General features: G+C 52.2%; 1 protein-coding gene and 1 non-coding gene across 4 annotated transcripts in view, besides 5 other annotated features; both read left to right on the top strand.

The window, feature by feature from the left end:
* Positions 1–19,952, top strand: part of KLHL25 (kelch like family member 25) — a 35,600-nt gene that overhangs the window by 9,835 nt on the left and 5,813 nt on the right. For 2 of the 3 annotated variants that reach the window (NM_022480.4, XM_047432938.1), the window contains exon 2: positions 15,271–17,074. In NM_022480.4, coding sequence (NP_071925.2) covers positions 15,281–17,050 — 1,770 coding nt within the window. In that variant the 5' untranslated portion in view covers positions 15,271–15,280 and the 3' untranslated portion in view covers positions 17,051–17,074. Of the gene's footprint in view, positions 1–4,380; positions 4,466–15,270; positions 17,075–19,952 lie in introns of those variants that run through there. The other variant, XM_047432937.1, reaches the window with a different exon arrangement.
* Positions 7,044–7,543: an enhancer, noted in NCBI's record as "H3K4me1 hESC enhancer chr15:86320779-86321278 (GRCh37/hg19 assembly coordinates)". NCBI's record gives its function as "activates a minimal SCP1, AML or CMV promoter by ChIP-STARR-seq in primed H9 embryonic stem cells {active_cell/tissue: H9 hESC(primed)}" and the evidence as "EXISTENCE:reporter gene assay evidence [ECO:0000049][PMID:30033119]".
* Positions 14,209–14,981: an enhancer, noted in NCBI's record as "H3K4me1 hESC enhancer chr15:86313341-86314113 (GRCh37/hg19 assembly coordinates)". NCBI's record gives its function as "activates a minimal SCP1, AML or CMV promoter by ChIP-STARR-seq in primed H9 embryonic stem cells {active_cell/tissue: H9 hESC(primed)}" and the evidence as "EXISTENCE:reporter gene assay evidence [ECO:0000049][PMID:30033119]".
* On the top strand, positions 14,513–14,595 carry MIR1276 (microRNA 1276). Its single transcript, NR_031682.1, has one exon. It is a non-coding gene; the product is annotated as a microRNA 1276 (primary transcript).
* Positions 14,982–15,756: an enhancer, noted in NCBI's record as "H3K27ac-H3K4me1 hESC enhancer chr15:86312566-86313340 (GRCh37/hg19 assembly coordinates)". NCBI's record gives its function as "activates a minimal SCP1, AML or CMV promoter by ChIP-STARR-seq in primed H9 embryonic stem cells {active_cell/tissue: H9 hESC(primed)}" and the evidence as "EXISTENCE:reporter gene assay evidence [ECO:0000049][PMID:30033119]".
* Positions 15,757–16,530: an enhancer, noted in NCBI's record as "H3K27ac-H3K4me1 hESC enhancer chr15:86311792-86312565 (GRCh37/hg19 assembly coordinates)". NCBI's record gives its function as "activates a minimal SCP1, AML or CMV promoter by ChIP-STARR-seq in naive and primed H9 embryonic stem cells {active_cell/tissue: H9 hESC(naive and primed)}" and the evidence as "EXISTENCE:reporter gene assay evidence [ECO:0000049][PMID:30033119]".
* Positions 16,531–17,305: an enhancer, noted in NCBI's record as "H3K27ac-H3K4me1 hESC enhancer chr15:86311017-86311791 (GRCh37/hg19 assembly coordinates)". NCBI's record gives its function as "activates a minimal SCP1, AML or CMV promoter by ChIP-STARR-seq in naive H9 embryonic stem cells {active_cell/tissue: H9 hESC(naive)}" and the evidence as "EXISTENCE:reporter gene assay evidence [ECO:0000049][PMID:30033119]".

The following is a 19,952-nucleotide window of genomic DNA, read 5'->3' as shown; positions in this document are numbered from 1 at the left end:
AAAGAAATACATCAGTCTCTGCTCTCTAGCATCACATGTCCAGGAATTGAAAATGCAGAAAGCGTGAGTTGTCTTCTGCTCCTTTTGGATAATTACCTGGTGTGTTTTTAATGTCTATACATTATGACTAGAGGCCAGGTGGGGCTTATATTGGTTTCTGTTACAGCATAACACATCATCACAGGCTTAGTGGCTTAATCAGTTCCTATTGATTAATGCACAGTTCTGTAGGCTGGAAGTCTGGGCTGGCCTGACTGGGTTCTCTACTTAGGGTCTCACAAGTCCAAAATCAAGGTGCAGCTGTACTGGGCTCTTGAGGCTCTGGTGAAGAATCTGCTTCCAGGCTCAGGTTTTTGGCAGAATCGAGTTCCTTATGGTCGTAGGACTGAGGTCAGTCCCCATTTCCTTGCTGGCTGCAGCCGGGTTCTAGTCTCAATGCCCTCCATCTTCAAACCTGCAGTGATGTGTCACATCCTTTCTTGCTTTGAATCTCCGACTCTTTTACTTTTGGGACCAGCTGGAGAAAACTCTGCTTTTTTTTTTATTTTTTTATTTTTTTTGAGATGGAGTTTCGCTGTTGTTGCCTGGGCTGAGTGCAGTAGAGCAACGTCAGCTCACTGCAACCTCTGCCTCCCAGGTTCAAGCAATTCTTCTGCCTCAGCCTCCTGAGTAGCTGGGATTACAGGTGTGTGCCACCAAGCCTGGCTAATTTTTTATATTTTTAGTAGATACCGGGGTTTCATCATGTTGGCCAGGCTGGTCTCGAACTCCTGACCTCCGGTGATCCGCCTGCCTTGGCCTCCCAAAGTGCAGGGATTACAGGCATGAGCCACCGTGCCCAGCCAACTCTGCTTTTAAGGGGCTTATTGACTAGATCAGGCTCACCCAGATAATCTCCCTTCTTTAAGGTCAACCAATTGATCAGTAACACCATTAATTACCTATGTAGCACACATTAATTAGATTTGAAAATCTCTGTCATGATCACAGGAATCAGGTCGACATCCATGGACCTGCATCAATAACAATATGATTAATAACAGCAGCTGTCATGAATCAAGCAAAATTTGTGTCCCACCATGCTACACTCTTTACGTGTATTCTCTCTTAATTCTGAGGATGGTACCTCGAGGTCAGGACAGTTATTGTCACCCCTGTTTTTCAGATGAGAAAACTGAGTCTCAGAGAATTTCAGTATCTTGGACCAGTTTTACAGGTAGCAATGGCAGTGCTGGGATTTGAAACCAGGGACTCTTAGCATCTAACCTTCCTGGTAGGCTGCCCAAGGTCGGTATCTGCAATTCGCTTTGTATGATTTATGGAACACCATCCAGAAAAGAGTTAAGGTTTGCTTTTTCCCATCTAGCATTTAAAATTCTTTTTTTTTTTTTTTTTTATTGAGGTGGAGTCTTGCTCTGTCACCCAGGCTGGAGTGCAGTGGTGCGATCTCAGCTCACTGCAAGCTGCACCTCCTGGGTTCAAGCGATAGTCCTGTCTCAGCCTCCTGAGTAGCTGGGATTACAGATGCCTGCCACCAAGCCTGTCTAATTTTTCTATTTTTAGTAGAGAGGGGGTTTCACCATGTTGACCAGGCTAGTCTTGAATTCCTGACCTCAGGTGATCCGCCCACCTCAGCCTCCCAAAGTGCTGTGATTATAGGCATGAACCATCACTCCTGGCCTAAGATGTTTAAATATGGCTGGGCACAGTGGCTCATGCCTGTAATCCCAGCACTTTGGGAGGCCAAGGCAGGTGGATCACCTGAGGTCAGGAGTTCGAGACCAGCCTGGCCAACATGGCAAAACCTCATCTCTACCAAAAAAAAAAATACAAAAATTAGCCAGCCGTGGTAATCCCAGCTACTTGGGAGGCTGAAGCAGGAGAATAGCTTGAACCCAGGAGCTGGAGGATTGCAGTGAGCCGAGGTCGCATTGCTGCACTCCAGCTTGGGCGATAGAGTGAGACTATGTCTCAAAATAAATAATAAATAAAATGTTTAAATATGGTATATGTTGATTATATTGCATATAATACGGCAGGTACCAGGCAGGCACCAGGGAACTCTCAGGTGGGTCTAACAGATCTCTGGATCATTTTGATTCTTTCTCCCGTGGGTATTGTGGCTAATCCCCATTTCATTCAGCAGTATTTATTAAGCATCTAATCGATTCTAGGTAGCAAAGATGACACAGAACAATGTCCTTGAGCTGCCAGTACAGAGAAGGGCACAATACGCAGTGACCTGAGGAGTGAACAGTGCTGTCCAGCAGTAGAAGAAAGGCTACCGTGCTGCAGCAAAGGCACAGAGGGCAGAAGAACGTTCATTCTAGGAGACAAGACAAAATTATGTTATTTACTGCATGCCATATGCCCTGTGTGTCGCATGGGGCACCACATTGTAGGTGCTCAGATTTCAGTGTACTTACTGCATTCATTTTCTGAGCATGTACTGTGGACAAGGCCATCCACATACCCGACAAATGTAAAATCCAGAGTGGGGTGTAGCTATGAAAGGAGAGATTGGGGAGGTGAGGGTGTGGGGCTGAGCAGGGAGAATGAGAGGAAGGGAGGGGGAGAGCTAAAGCCGAGAGAGGGAGGAAGAGGGGCTGGGGGTGGGACAAAGCTGGAAAGGGAACCGATTGAACACAGCTTGGATGTGAAAGCCTCCTTGAAGGCTTTTGAGCAGGAGCGCTCACAATTTGGCACTGGGTTGGTAGGTGTGGGAAGAAAGGGTTCAGGGGCCTGACCATAACCTGGCCTGCAGTGGTGACGCAAGACTGGGAAGGAAAACCCCAATGCAAGGTCCCAGGAAGGATGATGCAGTGGAACTTGGTGGCTAAACCATATGCTAAAAATGTGTATATGAATGACTGGCTATTTATGGGCACCCATGTTTTTGCTATAAATAAACGTACATATGTAATTTCAAGAGACCGAGAATTATCAACTGCAAAGCCCAAGTGTAGCAGTCTACTCACGGCCCCTGTACTTTGCTACTGGAGGGCCTGTCCTCTGCAAACCCAAGGTCTTTTTTTTTTTGGAGAAGGATGAGGTGGTCCTGTGGGTGAGAGAAGGCTTTTGATAATGAAGGGAGGAGCAGGCAGGGCCAGGTCATTAGAGGGAGGCAGCCAGCAGTGGGTGAGAGGGTACTGGGTCCAGCTGCCTCCGGTGACAGCAGGCTCTAGTGCATCACAGTACAAACGGGATGGAGACCCCCTGCATAGGCCCCCATGCTTCCTACAGAATTTTCTTTTTCTTAGTTCTTAAAAAAAACAGTGGTTAGTGTGGAAGATAAGAAAAATCTTCTGGCCAGGCGCGGTGGCTCACATCTGTAATCCCAACACTTTGGGAGGCCGAGGCAGGTGGATTACTGGAGATTAGGAGTTCAGGACCAGCCTGGCCAACATGGTGAAACCCCGTCTCTACTAAAAATAGAAAAAATTAGCCGGCATGGTGGCATGTACCTATAATCCCAGCTACTTGGGAGGCTGAGGCAGGAGAATTGCTTGAACCCAGGAGGTGGAGGTTGCAGTGAGCCGACATCACACCATTGCTGCACTCCAGCCTGGGCAAAAAGAACGAAACTTTGTCTCAAAAAACAAAAAAAGAAAAATCCGCTACCGCAATGTTCTCAAAGTGTGGTCTGGGTGTCCCTGAGATTCTCTTGGTGGAGAGTCCACAAGGTCAAAACTATTTTTGTGGTAATACTAAAACATTATTTGCCCTTTTCACTCATTCTCTCCAGAGTGCATAACTCAGTGAACCGATGTTTTCCAAATGGCCGATGCCTGATGTTACAGAATCACACATGGGTAAACAATCCATTCAAAGTGCAGGACAGGCTGTCAGATGGGAATGCCACTGAGTACAAAAGTTCATTGATACGGGCTGGGATACGGGCTCCTGAGTAGCTGGGATTACAGGTGCCCGCCACCACCATGTTGGCCAGGCTGGTCTGGAACTCCTGACCTCAGGTGATCCACCTACCTTGGCCTCCCAAAGTAGTACTAGGATTACAAGCATGAGCCACTGCGCCCGGCCCCTTTGGTTTTTTTTAGATAGCTGTGTGGAACTCCACTCTGTGCGTGTACCCAGGTTTATCTCACCAGGCCTCTTATTCGTGAACATTGTAGTTGTTCGCAGCCCCTCCTTTTGTAACCATGCTGCGGTGTGTAACCATTTTGTAACCATGTGCAGGCATGATGGAAGGGAAATTTTTAGGAGTGGAAATGCTGGGGCAGAGGGCACATGCATTTGTCATTTTGTAAGATGTTTCCCAATTGTTGTCTGAAGAGATTGTGCCAACTATGCTCCCCTTGCTCTCATCTCTGTCAGCGGGTAAAGAAAGAGTTGTGTCTTGGGCTTTGGGAATTGAGAGGCATTCTCATTCTGATTCAGCATCAGCGTTGACAGCCTAGAGAAGAACAGAGCTTCTGGAGAACAGGGAGAAAGAAATTCACTACCAGTAAGTGGCCAGTGCTTGGCATTTGTTCTTTTTTTGTTCTGTTCTGCATGTTTGTGTTCCTCCAAGACTGTCACTCCTGGTGGTTCATTGAAAGTGATATCTAGGCCAGAGTGCTTTTAATGGCTCCATCTGTGGGACCAGACAGGAAGAGAGACAGCCTCCCTCCAGGTCCTCAGACTGCATCTGTTTGCAAAGGGCCAGGCCAGTCCTGCCATAGAGGGGGAATCCTCCTCAGGAGGCCACGTTTGCTTTGGAGGGAGCCAATCTCGCTGCCCCTCTTTGTTTCTGTCTCTGGCTTGCTCTGGATAAGTGGAAGGAAACGAGTTACTTCACCAGATGGGTGAACCTGAGTGCTGAGTTCTTTGTCCCCTCTGTGGTGACAGCAGTGGAGTCCACTTTATTGGCATTACTCCCGTCTGGTGCAGCAGCTGGGCTTGCAGATGACTCCCAGCTCTGGGGTCCAGAGAAAGCCTGGGCAGCACCCCCAACCTGAGGGGGTTGGCATGTGGCAGGTAGAAGCCAGGCGGCACCTTCCATCTGCCTTGACAGTTTAGAGGGGCTGCCACCCCTCCTTGAGCTGAAAGAAGCCTCTTCGTTGCAGGGTGGTTTAAGTGTGGCTTGCGGGTGGCCTACCTGGTAAATAGAACTTTTAGGACGGTATGACATAAAAACATTTTTTCTCAAAAGGATTTATCTCAAGAGAATACAGTGAACCAACAGAAGCAAAAGGCATTAGTTTTTCCTTGCATAAAAATTCAGAAAATTATGGGTGAATGGATTTGTAAACCATAGTGATGTGTTTCCACAGACATTACAATTTACAGTTGACAACCACAAAGACACTAGACTAAGGTTCCTGAGGGCTCCAGAAGGCTGGGTCCCCAGTGCCTGCACTTGGCAGGCCTTTAATCAGTCTTTGTTCAGTAGTGAGGGCAGAATAGGAAAATGGCAACTCTGTGAAAAGTTGAGGTAAAACCAGTGTAAAATAGTATTCTGTAACTGCAATAATTTAAAAGTGTTTGTTTTGGGATAAAAGCTGAAAATAATAAGCCATAGTGAAAATAGTAGTTGTGTTTGCAGTGTTTCTCAATCTTGTTGGCACCTCCCTACCCCTAAGCCATTTTAGATGTTTTTTCCTAATTGCACCCACCCTCCTCATTGCATTTTAATACCACATGTGTATCTATGCCTTATACATACGATGAAGAAGAGTTTTTCATTCCCCAAGAACTAAGCTGTGTGTCCCCATCCACTGCCTCCTCCCTGCTCACTTTGGTCAGGCAGTGTGGTTCTAGGGCATTAGTGTCTTTTCTGTCTTGCTCCTCACTGTTAATGTCAGTAAAAGACAACACAGTGGAGCTCCTGGGTGTGGCTTTTGGCCTCTCTCACTTGGTCTGTAGAGCTCCCACTCAAAAAGACAGGACGCTGGGCAGAAAGGCAGGTGCTGCCCATCCATGGCTGCATCTATCTGCACCTGCCCCGGGCTGGATGTGTGGCCTGAACAGTTCCTCCCATGGGAGGGTTCGGCTGGCTTCTCTTCTTAGCAAGATGGCTTCTCTTTAAAAAAAAAAAAAAAAAAATTGTTGGTGAGGAGCTGGCCAAATCCATACGTTGCCTTTGAGTAGCTGGGCAAGTCCTGGATAGGTCCTTTCTCTAAGGTGAACTTTCTCAGTCCTGATTCCCTATCTGATCACAGAGGCTGCTCCCTACTAGGACCAGTGACCCATAGGAGAGAAGTGGGTACCATGGGGCCTGGGAGCTTAATCCTCTTCGGGATCCCTCTGTCCTGGTTGCACAGAAGCTGGTGGAGAAGGACTGCTTAAGGGGTAGACGGAGAGGACAGTGTCCTGGTGCTGGGACCTGCTGGTGGACACAGGGCTGAGGCCCCACAGACCTCTCTTCTGTCCCCTTTGGTGCTCAGCAAAGAGAGGGATGGCCTGGATTTGAACGCCGCCCCTTCCCCAGTCTTGGGTCAGTGAGCTCACATAGTGTAGTTGTGGGAACAGACTCAGCAAGACAGAGCCCTGGGCTCTGCCCCCACTCCTTGCGTAGCTTTGGGCAAATTGCCTAACACCTCCCTGCCCAGTTTCCTAAGCTGTGAAATGCAGACGATGGTTATACCTAAGGCTGAGTAGGGATGAGGTGAGTTAACACGTGAAGTGCTGAGACGGTGCCCAGCATATGATACTAAGCAACTGTGATTAGCACTGTTGTTGCCATTATCATTAACCTGCAAGCTTCTATTTTCTTATCGGTAAATTTTTTACAGAAATAGTGTGGCATATGGCAGGATTGGACTTTCTGGCTCTCTGGTGGGTGAGTGAAGGCGTGTAGCTGGATTTGGCCAGTGAGATGTGAATAGAAGTGCTGTGTGTCTTTCCAGGCCAAGCATTTAATTGTCAGTGCTATGCTTTCCAGAGCTCTCTCTCCGCCCTTTGGCATAGTGACTGGTGACATGGTGGCAGCTCTGTCATCTGGGTTCCTAGGAGTGGGATTGATGAGAACACTCATTACCGCCTGAACCATGATGCATGTATTAATAGTATGAGCAAGAAATAAAATCTTTCTCCTGTACAGCTGCTGCGATTTGGGGGTTGTTCCTTGCTGCGGCAGAACCTCATCCGTCCTGATTAAGACAGAAAGTCATAACCATGTTGAGCTTGGTTGTGAGGATTAAATTTTGTATGTAAAATGCCTAGCACAGTATCAGGTACATGATAGTCGTGCATTTGATTTGGCTCCCTTCCTGGCCAGAATCCCCTGCTGATTTTTAGCAGCACGTGTTGCTTCATCTTTCAGCAGAGTTTCACAGGCCTTGACCCCTTACCTCCTGTTCTGTGCCTTCTTTGTGAAGAAGAGCTTCACCAAACTGGGTAGGGCCCAGCGTGGTGCACCGCCTGACCCGTTCCTCTGGAGTGGAGAAGGCGTCCCTCTCAACTTGTAATCACAGCTCCCACTCCCTGGTGACCAGAGGCTGCAGTCACCCTGGGACTCTGCGGTCAATCCTGGAAGTTAAAGTGGCTGCCCTTCAAGTGTGCTTAATGTTTGGGTGCGTTACGTGAAAAGGCTGGAGCATGTGGAGAAGGCACTGAAACATCGGCCGGCCCTCTGGGTCTGTCGGGACCTCCCTTCGCTTTCCAGGCTTTGGCTGCAGGCTGACGGGTAGGGCCATGTGTAGAGTAATCCTCTGATTCATTGTCCACAAGGGACACTGTGTCTGTGTCTGGGTGGGGAAGGAGACACAATTTGAGAGCATTGGTTGGTGGCACTGTTGATCTTGACCTCAGGAAAGCAGGTGAAGCCAGGTGGTCTCACTGTATGCACTGTCAGAGGCTGCGGAAGGGCTGTGGTTCTGTGCTATTGGGGTGAGCATTGGCTGGGAGCTATTTGATGCAGGGACCTCATGGGATTGCCTGAAGGGGAAGCCCGTTTATTACCAAGCATTGTCTGAAGCAGACATTCTCAGCCCTTCCCTGATCCTTGCTCCATTCTAGAACTGCCCCATGGGCAGCCCATTCCTGTGCAGGAGGCATGGGGGCCAAAGTGAGGCAAGGAAGCTGGGGTGAGGCTGAGGGCTGGGAGGTTTAAGTACTGCCCAGCAAACTGTCCACCTGAGACCAGAAGGTGCCATTTCACAATTCTTGTGGCTTCACTGCAAGTGTCAGATCTGTTATTTATTTATTTATTTATTTATTTTTTTTGAGATGGAGTCTTGCTGTGTCCCCCAGGCTGGAGTGCGATGGTGGCATCTCGGCTCACTGCAACCTCCGCCTCCTGAGTTCAGGCCATTCTCCTGCCTCAGCCTCCCGAGTAGCTGGGACTATAGGCACCCGCCACCACACCCAGCTAATTTTTTGTATTTTTAGTAGAGGCAGGGTTTCACTGTGTTAGCCAGGATGGTCTCGATCTCCTGACCTCATGATCCGCCCACCTCAGCCTCCCAAAGTGCTGGTATTACAGGCGTGAGCCACCGTGCCCGGCCTCAGATCTTTTCACAATAAAAAGATGAAACAAAACCAAACTAAATAAATATGCACATTGAAAAATATAATTCAGATCAGTTACAGTTTAAATAACAAGATCTATACAATATTGAATAAATATGCATAAAGGTTTTTTTTGCTATTGATTGATTGATTGAGACGGAGCCTCTCTGTCGCCCAGGCTGGAGTGCAGTGGCACGATCTTGGCTCACTGCAACCTTCACCTCCCAGGTTTGAGCAGTTCTCCTGCCTCAGCCTCCCAAGTAGCTGGGACTACAGGTGCGTGCCACCATGCCCAGCTAATTTTTATACTTTTAGTAGAGATGGGGTTTCACCATATTGGCCAGGCTGGTCTCCAACTCCTGACCTCAGGTGATCTGCCCGCTTCAGCCTCCCAAAATGCTGGGATTACAGGCGTGAACCACTGTGCCCTGCCTGCATTTCTTTCTTTCTTTCTTTTTTTTTTTTTTGAGACAGAGTCTCGCTCTGTCGCCCAGGCTGGAGTGCAGTGGCGTGATCTCGGCCCACTGCAACCTCCATTTGCTGGGTTCAAGCAGTTCTCATGCTATAACCTCCCGAGTAGCTGGGACTACAGGCACACGCCAACATGCCCGGGTAATTTTTTGTATTTTTAGTAGAGACGGGGTTTCACCATGTTGGCCAGGCTGGTCTCGAACTCCACACCTTGTGATCTGCCCACCTCAGCCTCCCAAAGTGCTGGGATTGCAGGTGTGAGCCACCACGCCTGGCCGCTTTTTTTTTTTTTTTTTTTTTTTTTAAACGAGCCATTGAAAGGCAGCAGCCTGGCTGGGCGCCCTCACACATGGTTGCTGCCCCCACAGCCTCTGCAACCCAGGCAGGGGACCTCAGGCCGGGTGGCTGGTGCATCCTACCTGGCTTGTGCTGCCAGCCCTCAGGAGGGGACAGGAGAGCAAGGAGTTCATCTTTCCATCTCCTTTCCTGCCACTGCTTGCTGAACACCTCCGCCTTCCTGAGGAATTAGCAGCTCAAAGTCTGCAGTCAGGCCCAAGTTCCAAGAATGTGGCGTTGAGTCTGTTTCCTTATCAATAAAACGGGAATGATGGAACTCCTGGCAAAGGGACATGCTGAGGTCCTTGCGGCTGTGTGTTTTCATGAAGTCATTGTTGGTGGAATCCTGACTCCGATGCACCCAGTGCATACTTGGTGCCAGGAAGGGCCGTGTCTTGGGTTTCTGTCAGCGTCAGCTCCTGCAGGGTGGCCGTGAATCACTGTGCAGGTTGTTCACTGCATAAGGGCACCCAACCTCATGCAGCCTGAATTTCAGCTGCATTTTCCTCTCTAAGTCTTGTGCTTGGGTCCAGAGCCACATCTGTCAAAAAGCCCAAAAGCCAGGTTTGGCTTTTCCGAGTTTCCAAAGGTGCTTTCCTGCTAACCCAGAGACTGGTACACTGCAGGTACACTGGCAAACCTAAAATAATCGCCCTGGCCGGGCGCAGTGGCTCATGCCTGTAATCCCAGCACTTTGGGAGGCTAAGACGGGCAGATCACCTGAGGTCAGGAGTTCAAGACCAGCCTGGCCAACATGGTGAAACCTCGTCTCTAGTAAAAATACAAAAATTAGCCGGGTGTGGTGGCGGGCGCCTGTAATCCCAGCTACTCGGGAGGCTGAGGCAGGAGAATTGCTTGAACCTGGGAGTCGGAGGTTGCAGTGAGCTGAGATCGCGCCATTGCACTCCAGCCTGGGAGACAGAGCAAGACTCCGTCTCAAAAAAAAAAAAAAGAAAAGAAAAAAAGAATCGCACTGCGGGAGTGGGGAGGGGTTTTCATTTTGTACCAGGGGGCCATACGGATTGGCTTGGCCCTGAGCTCCAGAGATAATTTGAGCTGTTCATGCCTGGGTACTACGCAGGCTGAGCGCTGTGCCTCTCTCGTTTCCCCATCCTGTAGTGAAGAATGATGGAGCTGACACCCTCGTTTTGAGCCTTGCTAACTCTTGGTTAGTGGAGGCGGGTGGGAAGGGGTTAGTGCTGTAGCCATACTAAGTCAGGCCTTCCTGAGACTGGCACGGAAAAAGCAGCTTTGATGGCATCCGGGTTCCTATTTCTCTCAGGATAGGCCTTTCGCTTTCGGTCACTGGAATCTTCTGTGAGTGTGGCAAGTTTTCTTCAGAAAGTCTCACCCCTTGGCTAGTTTGTTTCTTTGTGCATTTAACTTTCCAAAGATGTGCTGGAGAAGGATGCTGGGCACATTGTTACCCGGTACATTTTAGCTGAGTCTGTAGGTGAGGATTGCCTGGGGAGCAGCGATGTCCAAGGTGGATCCACCCCTCGTAGCAGGATGAAGAGTTGCTGATCTGTGGCATTGCAACATTGTGCAGTTACGCTATGTGCCTTAAATCCATCAAAGCTCAGGACGACGCTTAGGTCATGAGAACAATTCTGTGATATGTGCAGAGCGAGAGTGTCTGATTGATTATGGCTCCAAAGACGTGAGCCATGGGCACAGGGAGGCTTCCCGGGGCCTGCTTTTGGGCCCTCTCACATGCTCCCCACCCCCCGCCGCTGGGAGCCTCTGGCTTGGGCTGCTTTTGCATCCCCAGGCCCTGCTATGAGGCTGGGTATGTCACTGGTACTGAACACATATATCTTGAGCAACTGAAAATAATCACACACAACCATTCTTCTGGTTGCTAGATGGAAGGGGTGGAGGGACACATAGCTAAGACCCCTTACCGAGACAAGCAGCCCCTGGTCACCAATTCAGGGCACTGATGACCCTGTGAGTCCTTAAGTGACAGGCCTCAGCAAAAGGGGGCGGACCAGAGGACCACAGGGCTCCACTTGGCCCTCTGCGCAGGCTTCCATCTTGGGTAGGTGGCAACACGGCTGTCACCCCTTCCCACTCCCAGCCCTGGTCCAGTCCGGTCAGCAGTCCTAGGGAAAGGGCCTGCTTCGTTCCTCAAAGTTCCAGTGAACATCTTAGTATAGAGTCCCACTGGTCTGTCCTGGGTGTAGGCCCCATCACAGCAGTTCGGAGGATGACACTAGCTCATCAGCCAGGCCTGGCACGTGTCCACTCCCCACCTGATCCCCAGGGCCCAGTGATGTGCAGCACCTGGGGCCCAGTGCCCACCCCGGGATGCCACCCGCTGAGCTGCCTGGAGGCAGGTGGTTCCCAGAGAACAGTCAGGGTGTGAGTGCGAGGAGGAGGCGGCATTGTGCTGGTGTGAGTAAAATGACACGCGTTTACCACATGTCAGGTGTCGCAGCCGCCTGGGCAGCATTCACCACTGCCTCGGCCTTCCTCTCCTCTGGGTCTTGACAGTGGCTGGGCTGGCAGTCATGGTGGAGTTGATATGAATGAGTTTCGTGTGCTGTGTCTCAGGGCTTCATCATGGGCATAGGAAGAGATGGACAGGTCCATGCCATCAAGTCAAGTGACCTCTGTGCCGGGATCTGTCCTGGGTGTTGAGGTCACATCAGTGAGCCCCACACATGGTCCCTGCCTTTCTGGGCCTCCTGTGCAGTTTGGGAGACAGTACACAAATAACATGCCCAGAAGCTGTGTGGGCCTCAGCATCCTTGCCTGTAAAGTGGGGCTCCAGTGCCTCACTTGGGATCAGGCTGAGTCGGTGAGTGAGTGGCTGCCATCAGTGGAAGATTGGCTCAGGGGCAGGCGCTGCCCAGAAGGAGATGGGACAAACCGGGGAAACAACTAGGCAGGTGCTTCCGCCCTTGGCACAGAGGTGCCCCAGGCTGGCGGCTGTCTAGGGGGTGGGAACCTGCCTGGGCGTGTACATGAGTTGCCAGCATCTGCATCAGCAGGCAGGCATTCTTGGTGCCGACTTTGGCAGGGTATCTGTCAGCTCTGGGACCCTGGGTTGCCGCTCACTGTTGGCTTGGAGAGGTCACTGCTCTGCCTCCTTCTCTGGACCATTGTGGCTGCCCTGTTTCAATTTGCCCTGCTTTTTGGCTTTCTCGGTCTTTTGAGTCTTGCTTTGTCCTGCCCATAACCCCCTCCAAAGGGAGTCTCTGCCTGGGTACTCTCGCAGGCAGCCCAGTTAACACAGTGCCCCAGAGTGGAGTTAGTTCTAGGTGTGTTGGTTCCAGGGCCGTAGTTACTAAGGTGAGGAGCTGGGATTCCAGCTGGGGCTGTCTGTAAGAAGAATCCCAGAGGGGCTCACCCCACACTTGGAGTGTCCAAGCCCAGGCATTCAAGCTGCCGTTCAGCCCAAGCTCAGAACCAGCCTCCCCTCTGGCAGGGCCAGGGTGGGGCAGGGGGCAGGTGCGATGAGGTGCCTAGGGACCTAGAGCAGGGAGGTCCTTGGAAGCACAAGTGTGTTGACAATGGAACTGAAGCCAAACCTCAGCATCAGGGCCCTTGAACGTGACCTCAGTGGAGAGGGCATGGGCTTAGGAGTCCCAGGGCTCGAACTAGAATTCTTCCTGGTCCTTGGCTCTCCACGTTTCCCCCAGCACGGTCTGCAGACCAGAGGCAACAAATGCCTCTTAAAATGTCCTGACACTGTGGGGTGGGGCAGGAGGGGACAGAGCCACATTTGGGAAATTGTCTGATCACCAAGGGGGTGGTCTGGAGTGAGGAAACTGGAGTGAGAGTTTAGCAATCACAGCAAGATTTGGGGAAATGTCGCAGGGTCTGGAATTCAGATTAGGCAATTCCGATCAGTCACGGGCCAGGCTGTTGGCAAAGCTTCCCTCAGACCCGGTCAGCGCAGTCTCTCAGGCTCCGTGCCACTGCATCTGAGGGCCCAGCTTCGAGGATGTGCTCAGGAAATAGTTGCCAACAAGTGAGTTGTGGAGGCCTGAGTAGGATGGGGATCTCACTTTACAAGAAAATAATAGTGAGGTACAGGATGGAGGTGGAGCCAGGATACAGCCTGGATCTGCGTCCAGTGCTCTCACCCCAACCCCCAGAAGGGCTAACCTCATATAGCCTCGGAGCCCTGTGGACTGTGGGCTGCAGGTTTGGACAGCAGTGTCTTAGGCAGGTCCTCGGTGTACAGTCTACCTGGAGCTTGGGGGTCCAAGCAGCAAGGCCAGTCTGGCCCTGTGCCCTCTCTGCCTAAGCCCAAAAGCAGGGACCTTGCTAGCTCTAATCTCGTCAGTTTGTGGCTTCTCTGCCTCTTTTCCAGAGGAGGAGTGAGCAAGAGAGAGCCATGTAGCCGGACACTCATTTACAATTTCACTGAAGCATGAAATCGTTTCCTACCTTTACCAGATTATTACCTAAGTAGAAAATTGACTTGGAGTGGGAGGCGGCAGGAGAGTTACATACTTTTGAAAATTAAAAATGAAAAACTTTGTTGTTTAGGGTTTTTTGTTTTTCTTGGCCCCATTACCAGCAGGAAGACAGCAGCACAGGCTTTTAGGGGGTCAAGATACTGGAATGCAGTTTGCTTTTTGGCCATGTTTTCTTTTCTTTCTTTTTTTTTTTTTTTTCAGGCTTAATTCACTTTATTTTTCTTGTATAAAAACCCTGTTGTAGCCACAGCTGGAGCGTAGGTCCTCTGCATGGAGACTCTGGTGAGGGTCTTGACAAGGTGGTCAGTGAATTCCTGATCGGGAGACTTGGTGAATACAGTCTCCTTCCACAGGTCAGTGGGGCAGGTAGCTGTGGTCTTCGAGATGGCCTCAAGGGTGTTGGCCATGTTTTCTCTAGGTATATGAGTTTTGCCGCCTGTTGGCTGAGCCTTGAGTTCAAAGTACTGAACTGGGGCCTCGGGTCATGCCATTCACTGGACATTAATGACAGTGCTTTAGAATTCCCCTAGATTGAGCAAGTAGTGAACCTGTTTCTTGGCCATCACTCCATCACTCTGAGCGCCAGGTCCCCAGGCCTGGTGGAGAAGGGCAGGCAAGGGAGGCAGGGGAGGCGCTGCGTTGGCCCAGGATCCTGGCGTCAGCTGGGGGACCTGGGAAGCTCTGGCTTCGTGTTTCTCTGCTTTGCTGAGGCAAATCTGGATCACTTCCGTTAGGGTTCGGCATGTCCTGCTGTCATCTTGGGCCTCTGCGTTGGTCTCGAGGGTGAGTCACTGGCGGCCCCACCTCCAAGCCATCACTTGCCCCAGCTAGGTAAAGAGCCCTGTGGAGACACCTGGATTCAGAGAACATGTCTCCACTGAGCACTTGGGCCTTGATGGCGGCTCTTGTTCCAAGGCAAGGGGGATGTCTAGCCAGTACCGCTTGGAGCCCGGCCCAGGGCAGAGCCTGCTGGGAGCAGGGAAGTGGGTACGTGAGGCTCTGCTTGGGCGTCCACAGCAAACCCTGCAGGGATTAGTCACCTTGAACAGAGATCAGGCTCCAGAGCCGGACAGCCCATGTGAGAATCCTGGCTGTGGCAGTTTGGGTAGTTTCTTGGCCTCTCTGAGCTGTGGCTTCCCTAGCTCTAAAATGGGACTTACAAGAGAAGCTTCTGTAGAGGACTGTCATGAGAGTGGAATGTGGTCAAAGGCACCAGTTACTTAGCACTGCCCGGACACCAGCCTCAGTCAGGAACACCGTTTGCATGTTCTCTTAACCATGGGAGGCAGCCTCAACTGGAGCTTGCCTAGGGGGTGGCTCATCTGCAGGCCAGAGATGTTTGTCCCAGAGCTGGCTCATACCCTGAGAACAAAACCAGTTTCTGCAGGGCAGGGTGAGACCCAGCCACTCTTGCCTGTGTTGTCCTTGGCAACGTGGTTGCGGGAGAGGGGCTTGGTTTAGCAGAGGTGAGCAGAGAGTGGGTGGGAGGGGACAAGGGGGCTTGTGCTGAAGAGTGAGCCCTGAGAGGGCAGATGGGCAGGAGGGGCTCCTCTAACCTGTGGGCTTGTTCCCCCACAAGCTGACGCACCATGTCGGTCAGTGTCCATGAGACCCGCAAGTCGCGGAGCAGCACGGGGTCCATGAACGTCACCCTCTTCCACAAGGCCTCCCACCCGGACTGTGTGCTGGCCCACCTCAACACGCTTCGCAAGCACTGCATGTTCACCGACGTCACACTCTGGGCGGGCGACCGTGCCTTCCCCTGTCACCGTGCCGTGCTGGCCGCCTCTAGCCGCTATTTTGAGGCCATGTTCAGCCATGGCCTTCGGGAGAGCCGGGATGACACTGTCAACTTCCAGGACAACCTGCACCCGGAGGTGCTGGAGCTGCTGCTGGACTTTGCCTACTCCTCACGCATCGCCATCAACGAGGAGAACGCTGAGTCACTGCTGGAGGCAGGCGACATGCTGCAGTTCCACGATGTGCGGGATGCTGCCGCCGAGTTCCTGGAGAAGAACCTTTTCCCCTCCAACTGCCTGGGCATGATGCTGCTCTCGGACGCCCACCAGTGCCGCCGGCTGTATGAGTTCTCCTGGCGCATGTGCCTGGTGCACTTTGAGACGGTGAGGCAGAGCGAGGACTTCAACAGCCTGTCCAAGGACACACTGCTGGACCTCATCTCGAGTGATGAGCTGGAGACCGAGGACGAGCGGGTGGTCTTCGAGGCCATCCTCCAGTGGGTGAAGCACGACCTGGAGCCACGGAAGGTCCACTTGCCCGAGCTCCTCCGCAGCGTGCGTCTGGCCTTGCTGCCGTCCGACTGCCTGCAGGAGGCCGTCTCCAGCGAGGCCCTCCTCATGGCAGACGAGCGCACCAAGCTTATCATGGATGAGGCCCTGCGCTGCAAGACCAGGATCCTGCAGAATGATGGCGTGGTCACCAGCCCCTGTGCCCGGCCACGCAAGGCGGGCCACACGCTACTCATCCTGGGGGGCCAGACCTTCATGTGTGACAAGATCTACCAGGTGGACCACAAGGCCAAGGAGATCATCCCCAAGGCCGACCTGCCCAGCCCCCGGAAGGAGTTCAGCGCCTCAGCGATCGGCTGCAAGGTCTATGTGACGGGGGGCAGGGGCTCCGAGAACGGGGTCTCCAAGGATGTCTGGGTGTACGACACCGTACATGAGGAATGGTCCAAGGCGGCGCCCATGCTGATTGCCCGCTTTGGCCATGGCTCAGCTGAGCTGGAGAACTGCCTCTATGTGGTGGGGGGACACACATCCCTGGCAGGGGTCTTCCCGGCCTCGCCTTCTGTCTCCCTGAAACAAGTGGAGAAATACGACCCTGGGGCCAACAAGTGGATGATGGTGGCCCCCTTGCGGGATGGCGTCAGCAATGCCGCAGTGGTGAGTGCCAAGCTGAAGCTCTTTGTTTTCGGAGGAACCAGCATCCACCGGGACATGGTGTCCAAGGTCCAGTGCTATGACCCCTCGGAGAACAGGTGGACGATCAAGGCCGAGTGCCCCCAGCCTTGGCGGTACACAGCCGCTGCCGTCCTGGGCAGCCAGATCTTCATCATGGGAGGTGACACGGAATTCACAGCCGCCTCGGCCTACCGCTTTGACTGTGAGACCAACCAGTGGACGCGGATTGGGGACATGACTGCCAAGCGCATGTCCTGCCATGCCCTGGCTTCCGGCAACAAGCTCTATGTGGTCGGGGGCTACTTTGGGACCCAGAGGTGTAAGACTCTGGACTGCTATGACCCCACTTCAGATACATGGAACTGCATCACCACAGTGCCCTACTCACTTATCCCCACGGCCTTTGTCAGCACCTGGAAGCACCTGCCCGCGTGAGGAGCACCTGCTGAGCCCAGCCAGGTGAGTCCCTGGCAGCCCACGGCCACTCTGGGTCCGGAAAGGTCATGGGGGAATGCAGTCCCACCTCTTCCCACTGGGTGAAGGTCACCGTGTCTTCCAGGGAAGTCTGGGTGGGCAGCAGGTGGCTGGTGTGCTCTGGAGTCAAATCCTGGCTCTGCCTTCTATTTGCAGTTAACCTGGAGCAAATTATTGAACCAGTCTGCAAAATGGGGACAGTAACCATGGTTAGACCAACATGGTGGTTCCCAAACATGGTTATACTTCAGAATCACCCAGGGACCTTTTGACAGTGCTGTGTGGAGCATAGGTCAACCTGCAGAGTCTGAGGGTGCAGTCTCCACACAAGCCTGCTCTTACTTTTGACACCAGGTGCAACAAAGGGGGCCTCCCAAACCACCCTCGGTCAATTTTGCCAGAAAGACTTATAGAAGTCGCTGAAGGCTGTTATGCTCACAGTTACAGTTTATTATAGGGGAAAGATACAGATTAAGATAAGCCAAGGGAAGAGACATGTACTAAGGCAGAGTCCAGGAGAATGGCCCCCTCCCCATGGAGTCAGGACAGTGTTACTCTCCTGGCACTGATGAGTGATGATATGTATGAAGATTGCCAACCAGGCCCGGGCATGGTGGCTCATGCCTATAATCCCAGCACTTTAGGAGGGCTGAGGTGGGCAGATGGCTTGAGCCCAATTCAAGACCAGCCTGGGCAATGTGAAAGTCAGTCCTGGCCGGGCACAGTGGCTCATGCCTGTAACCCCAGCACTTTGAGAGGCCGAGGTGGGCAGATCATGAGGTCAGGAGATCGAGACCATCCTGGCTAACAAGTGAAACCCCATCCCTACTAAAAATACAAAAAATGAGCCAGGCATGGTGGTGCACACCTGTAATCCCAGCTACTTGGGAGGCTGAGGTAGGAGGATCACTTGAACCTGGGAGACAGAGGCTGCAGTGAGCCAAGATCATGCCGCTGTACTCCAGCCTGGGCAACAGTGAGACTCCGTCTCAAAAAAAAAAAAAAAATGATCGCCAACCAGGCATGACATCCATGTCTAAATGGTGGAGTCCTCCAAAAAACTGTTAACTGTAAACACCAAAGCCTGCATGGTGGGAACAGACAGCCTTGGTTTGAGTCCTGTTTCTCCTGGGGGCAGCTGTGTGCTCACCAGCATGCAAGGGATGGGGAGAAGTCCTTCCTCGAAGCCGGCAGGCGTCTAGCTTAAGCGAGGTCATCCTTGAGGGCCTTGGAGCAGGGCTTCCTGCAGAGCGAGTGTCTGTGGGTTGCTGCCACACTGTCATTGTGTGGAATCGCTATGAAAACAGGTGACACGGAAGGCACTCTGTGGGAGGTGATGGTGGGACAGAGACACTGGGAGCAGTTTGAGCCAGGCCCTGCAGACCCTGCAGTGAAGGGAAGGAACGGGCGGGAGGAGTGTCTCATCTGGTGCTGGTTTAATCTCCTGAGAAGCTGAGCTGGGGGCGGGGTCTTCCCGCAGCAAATAGGGGCAGGATCGGCATGAGGTCCTGCCACGAGAGAGGGTATCCCGGCCAGCCTGGCAGGGTACTGGGGTAGATGCCAGAGAAGGGCTTTGTGCCCAACACACCCTCTGTGTTTAGGGCCTGGGAAAGGCCAGGGTGCGTGCCACTAGCCCTTGGCCATTCTCCCGGCTCATGCTGTCCTGGGCCCCTCACCCCTGCAATAGGGGCATAAGATCCCTGGGTGCACTCTGCCTCCAGCACAGGACGAGACTGTGGAAGATGAGCTGTCCTGCCGGAGGGAGCCCAGCCGCTTCCCACGATCCTGCAGCGCTGGGTGGTGGCAGTGATCCCCACGTGTGGGCTCAGCTTCAGGTCATAGGAACCCTTTCAGGAGCTGGCCCGAGCTAAACATTAATTTCCTCAGTGAGCCAGCGGCTGCTGATACAAATGCTGAAAGCTCTACCCAGTGAAGGCAGTCATTCTTAGCTGGGATTGCTTCTCAATGGAAGCTGATGGCTCAGCCTCTAACTCAGATCCAGCCAAGCCTTCGAGTCCCTTAAAGGGACATGGTGGCAGGCAAGGAGGGCCCAAGCATAAGCATCAAGTTGGTGAACACAGGGTGTTTGGGCTCACAGAGGCCAGCCTGAATAGGAACACCAGTTTTCTTTTTTCTTTTATTTTTCTTTTTTCTTTTTCTTTTTTTTTTTTTTGAGACAGTCTCGCTCTGTCACCCAGGCTAGAGTGCAGGGTACGATCTCTGCTCACTGCAACCTCCACCTCCCAGGTTCAAGGAATTCTCGTTCCTCAGCCTCCTGAGTAGCTGGGATTACAGACGTGTGCCACCGCATCTGGCTTGCTTTTTTCTTTTACAGCTTTTCTGTTTTCTTCTTCTTCTTCTTCTTCTTTTTTTTTTTTTTGAGACAGTCTCGTTCTCCCCCAGGCTGGAGTGTAATGGTGCGATCTCTGCTCACTGCAACCTCTGCCTCCTGGGTTCAAGCGATTCTCCTTCCTCAGCCTCCTGAGTAGCTGGGATTACAGGCATCTGCCACCATGCCCAGCTAATTTTTGTATTTGTAGTAGAGATGGGGTTTCACCGTGTTGGCCAGGCTGGTCTCAAACTCCAGACCTCAGGTGATCCACCCGCCTCGGCCTTCCAAAGTGCTGGGATTACAGGTGTGAGCCTTCGTGCCCGGTCTTCTTTTTTTTTAATCTGCTGTCTTTAGAGAAAAATCAGACCTGCCAAATTTCTTGATTCCCTGAGGAGTGAGATTCCAAGAGGATACTGGCATCTCCTCATTAATTCCCTGTTGCTATCCTCTAGGTCATTTAGAAACCTGGGGAATGTCACCTGTGGGAAATGGAGGCCCCTCCCACCCCAGGCCAGCCGGGCTGGGCAGTGT

This window comes from Homo sapiens, chromosome 15 (assembly GCF_000001405.40).
Source record: "Homo sapiens chromosome 15, GRCh38.p14 Primary Assembly".
In the NCBI taxonomy this organism is placed as follows: domain Eukaryota; kingdom Metazoa; phylum Chordata; class Mammalia; order Primates; family Hominidae; genus Homo; species Homo sapiens.
The sequence above is the reverse complement of the archived record's forward strand: the minus strand, read 5'-3'. Positions and strand labels throughout refer to the sequence as shown.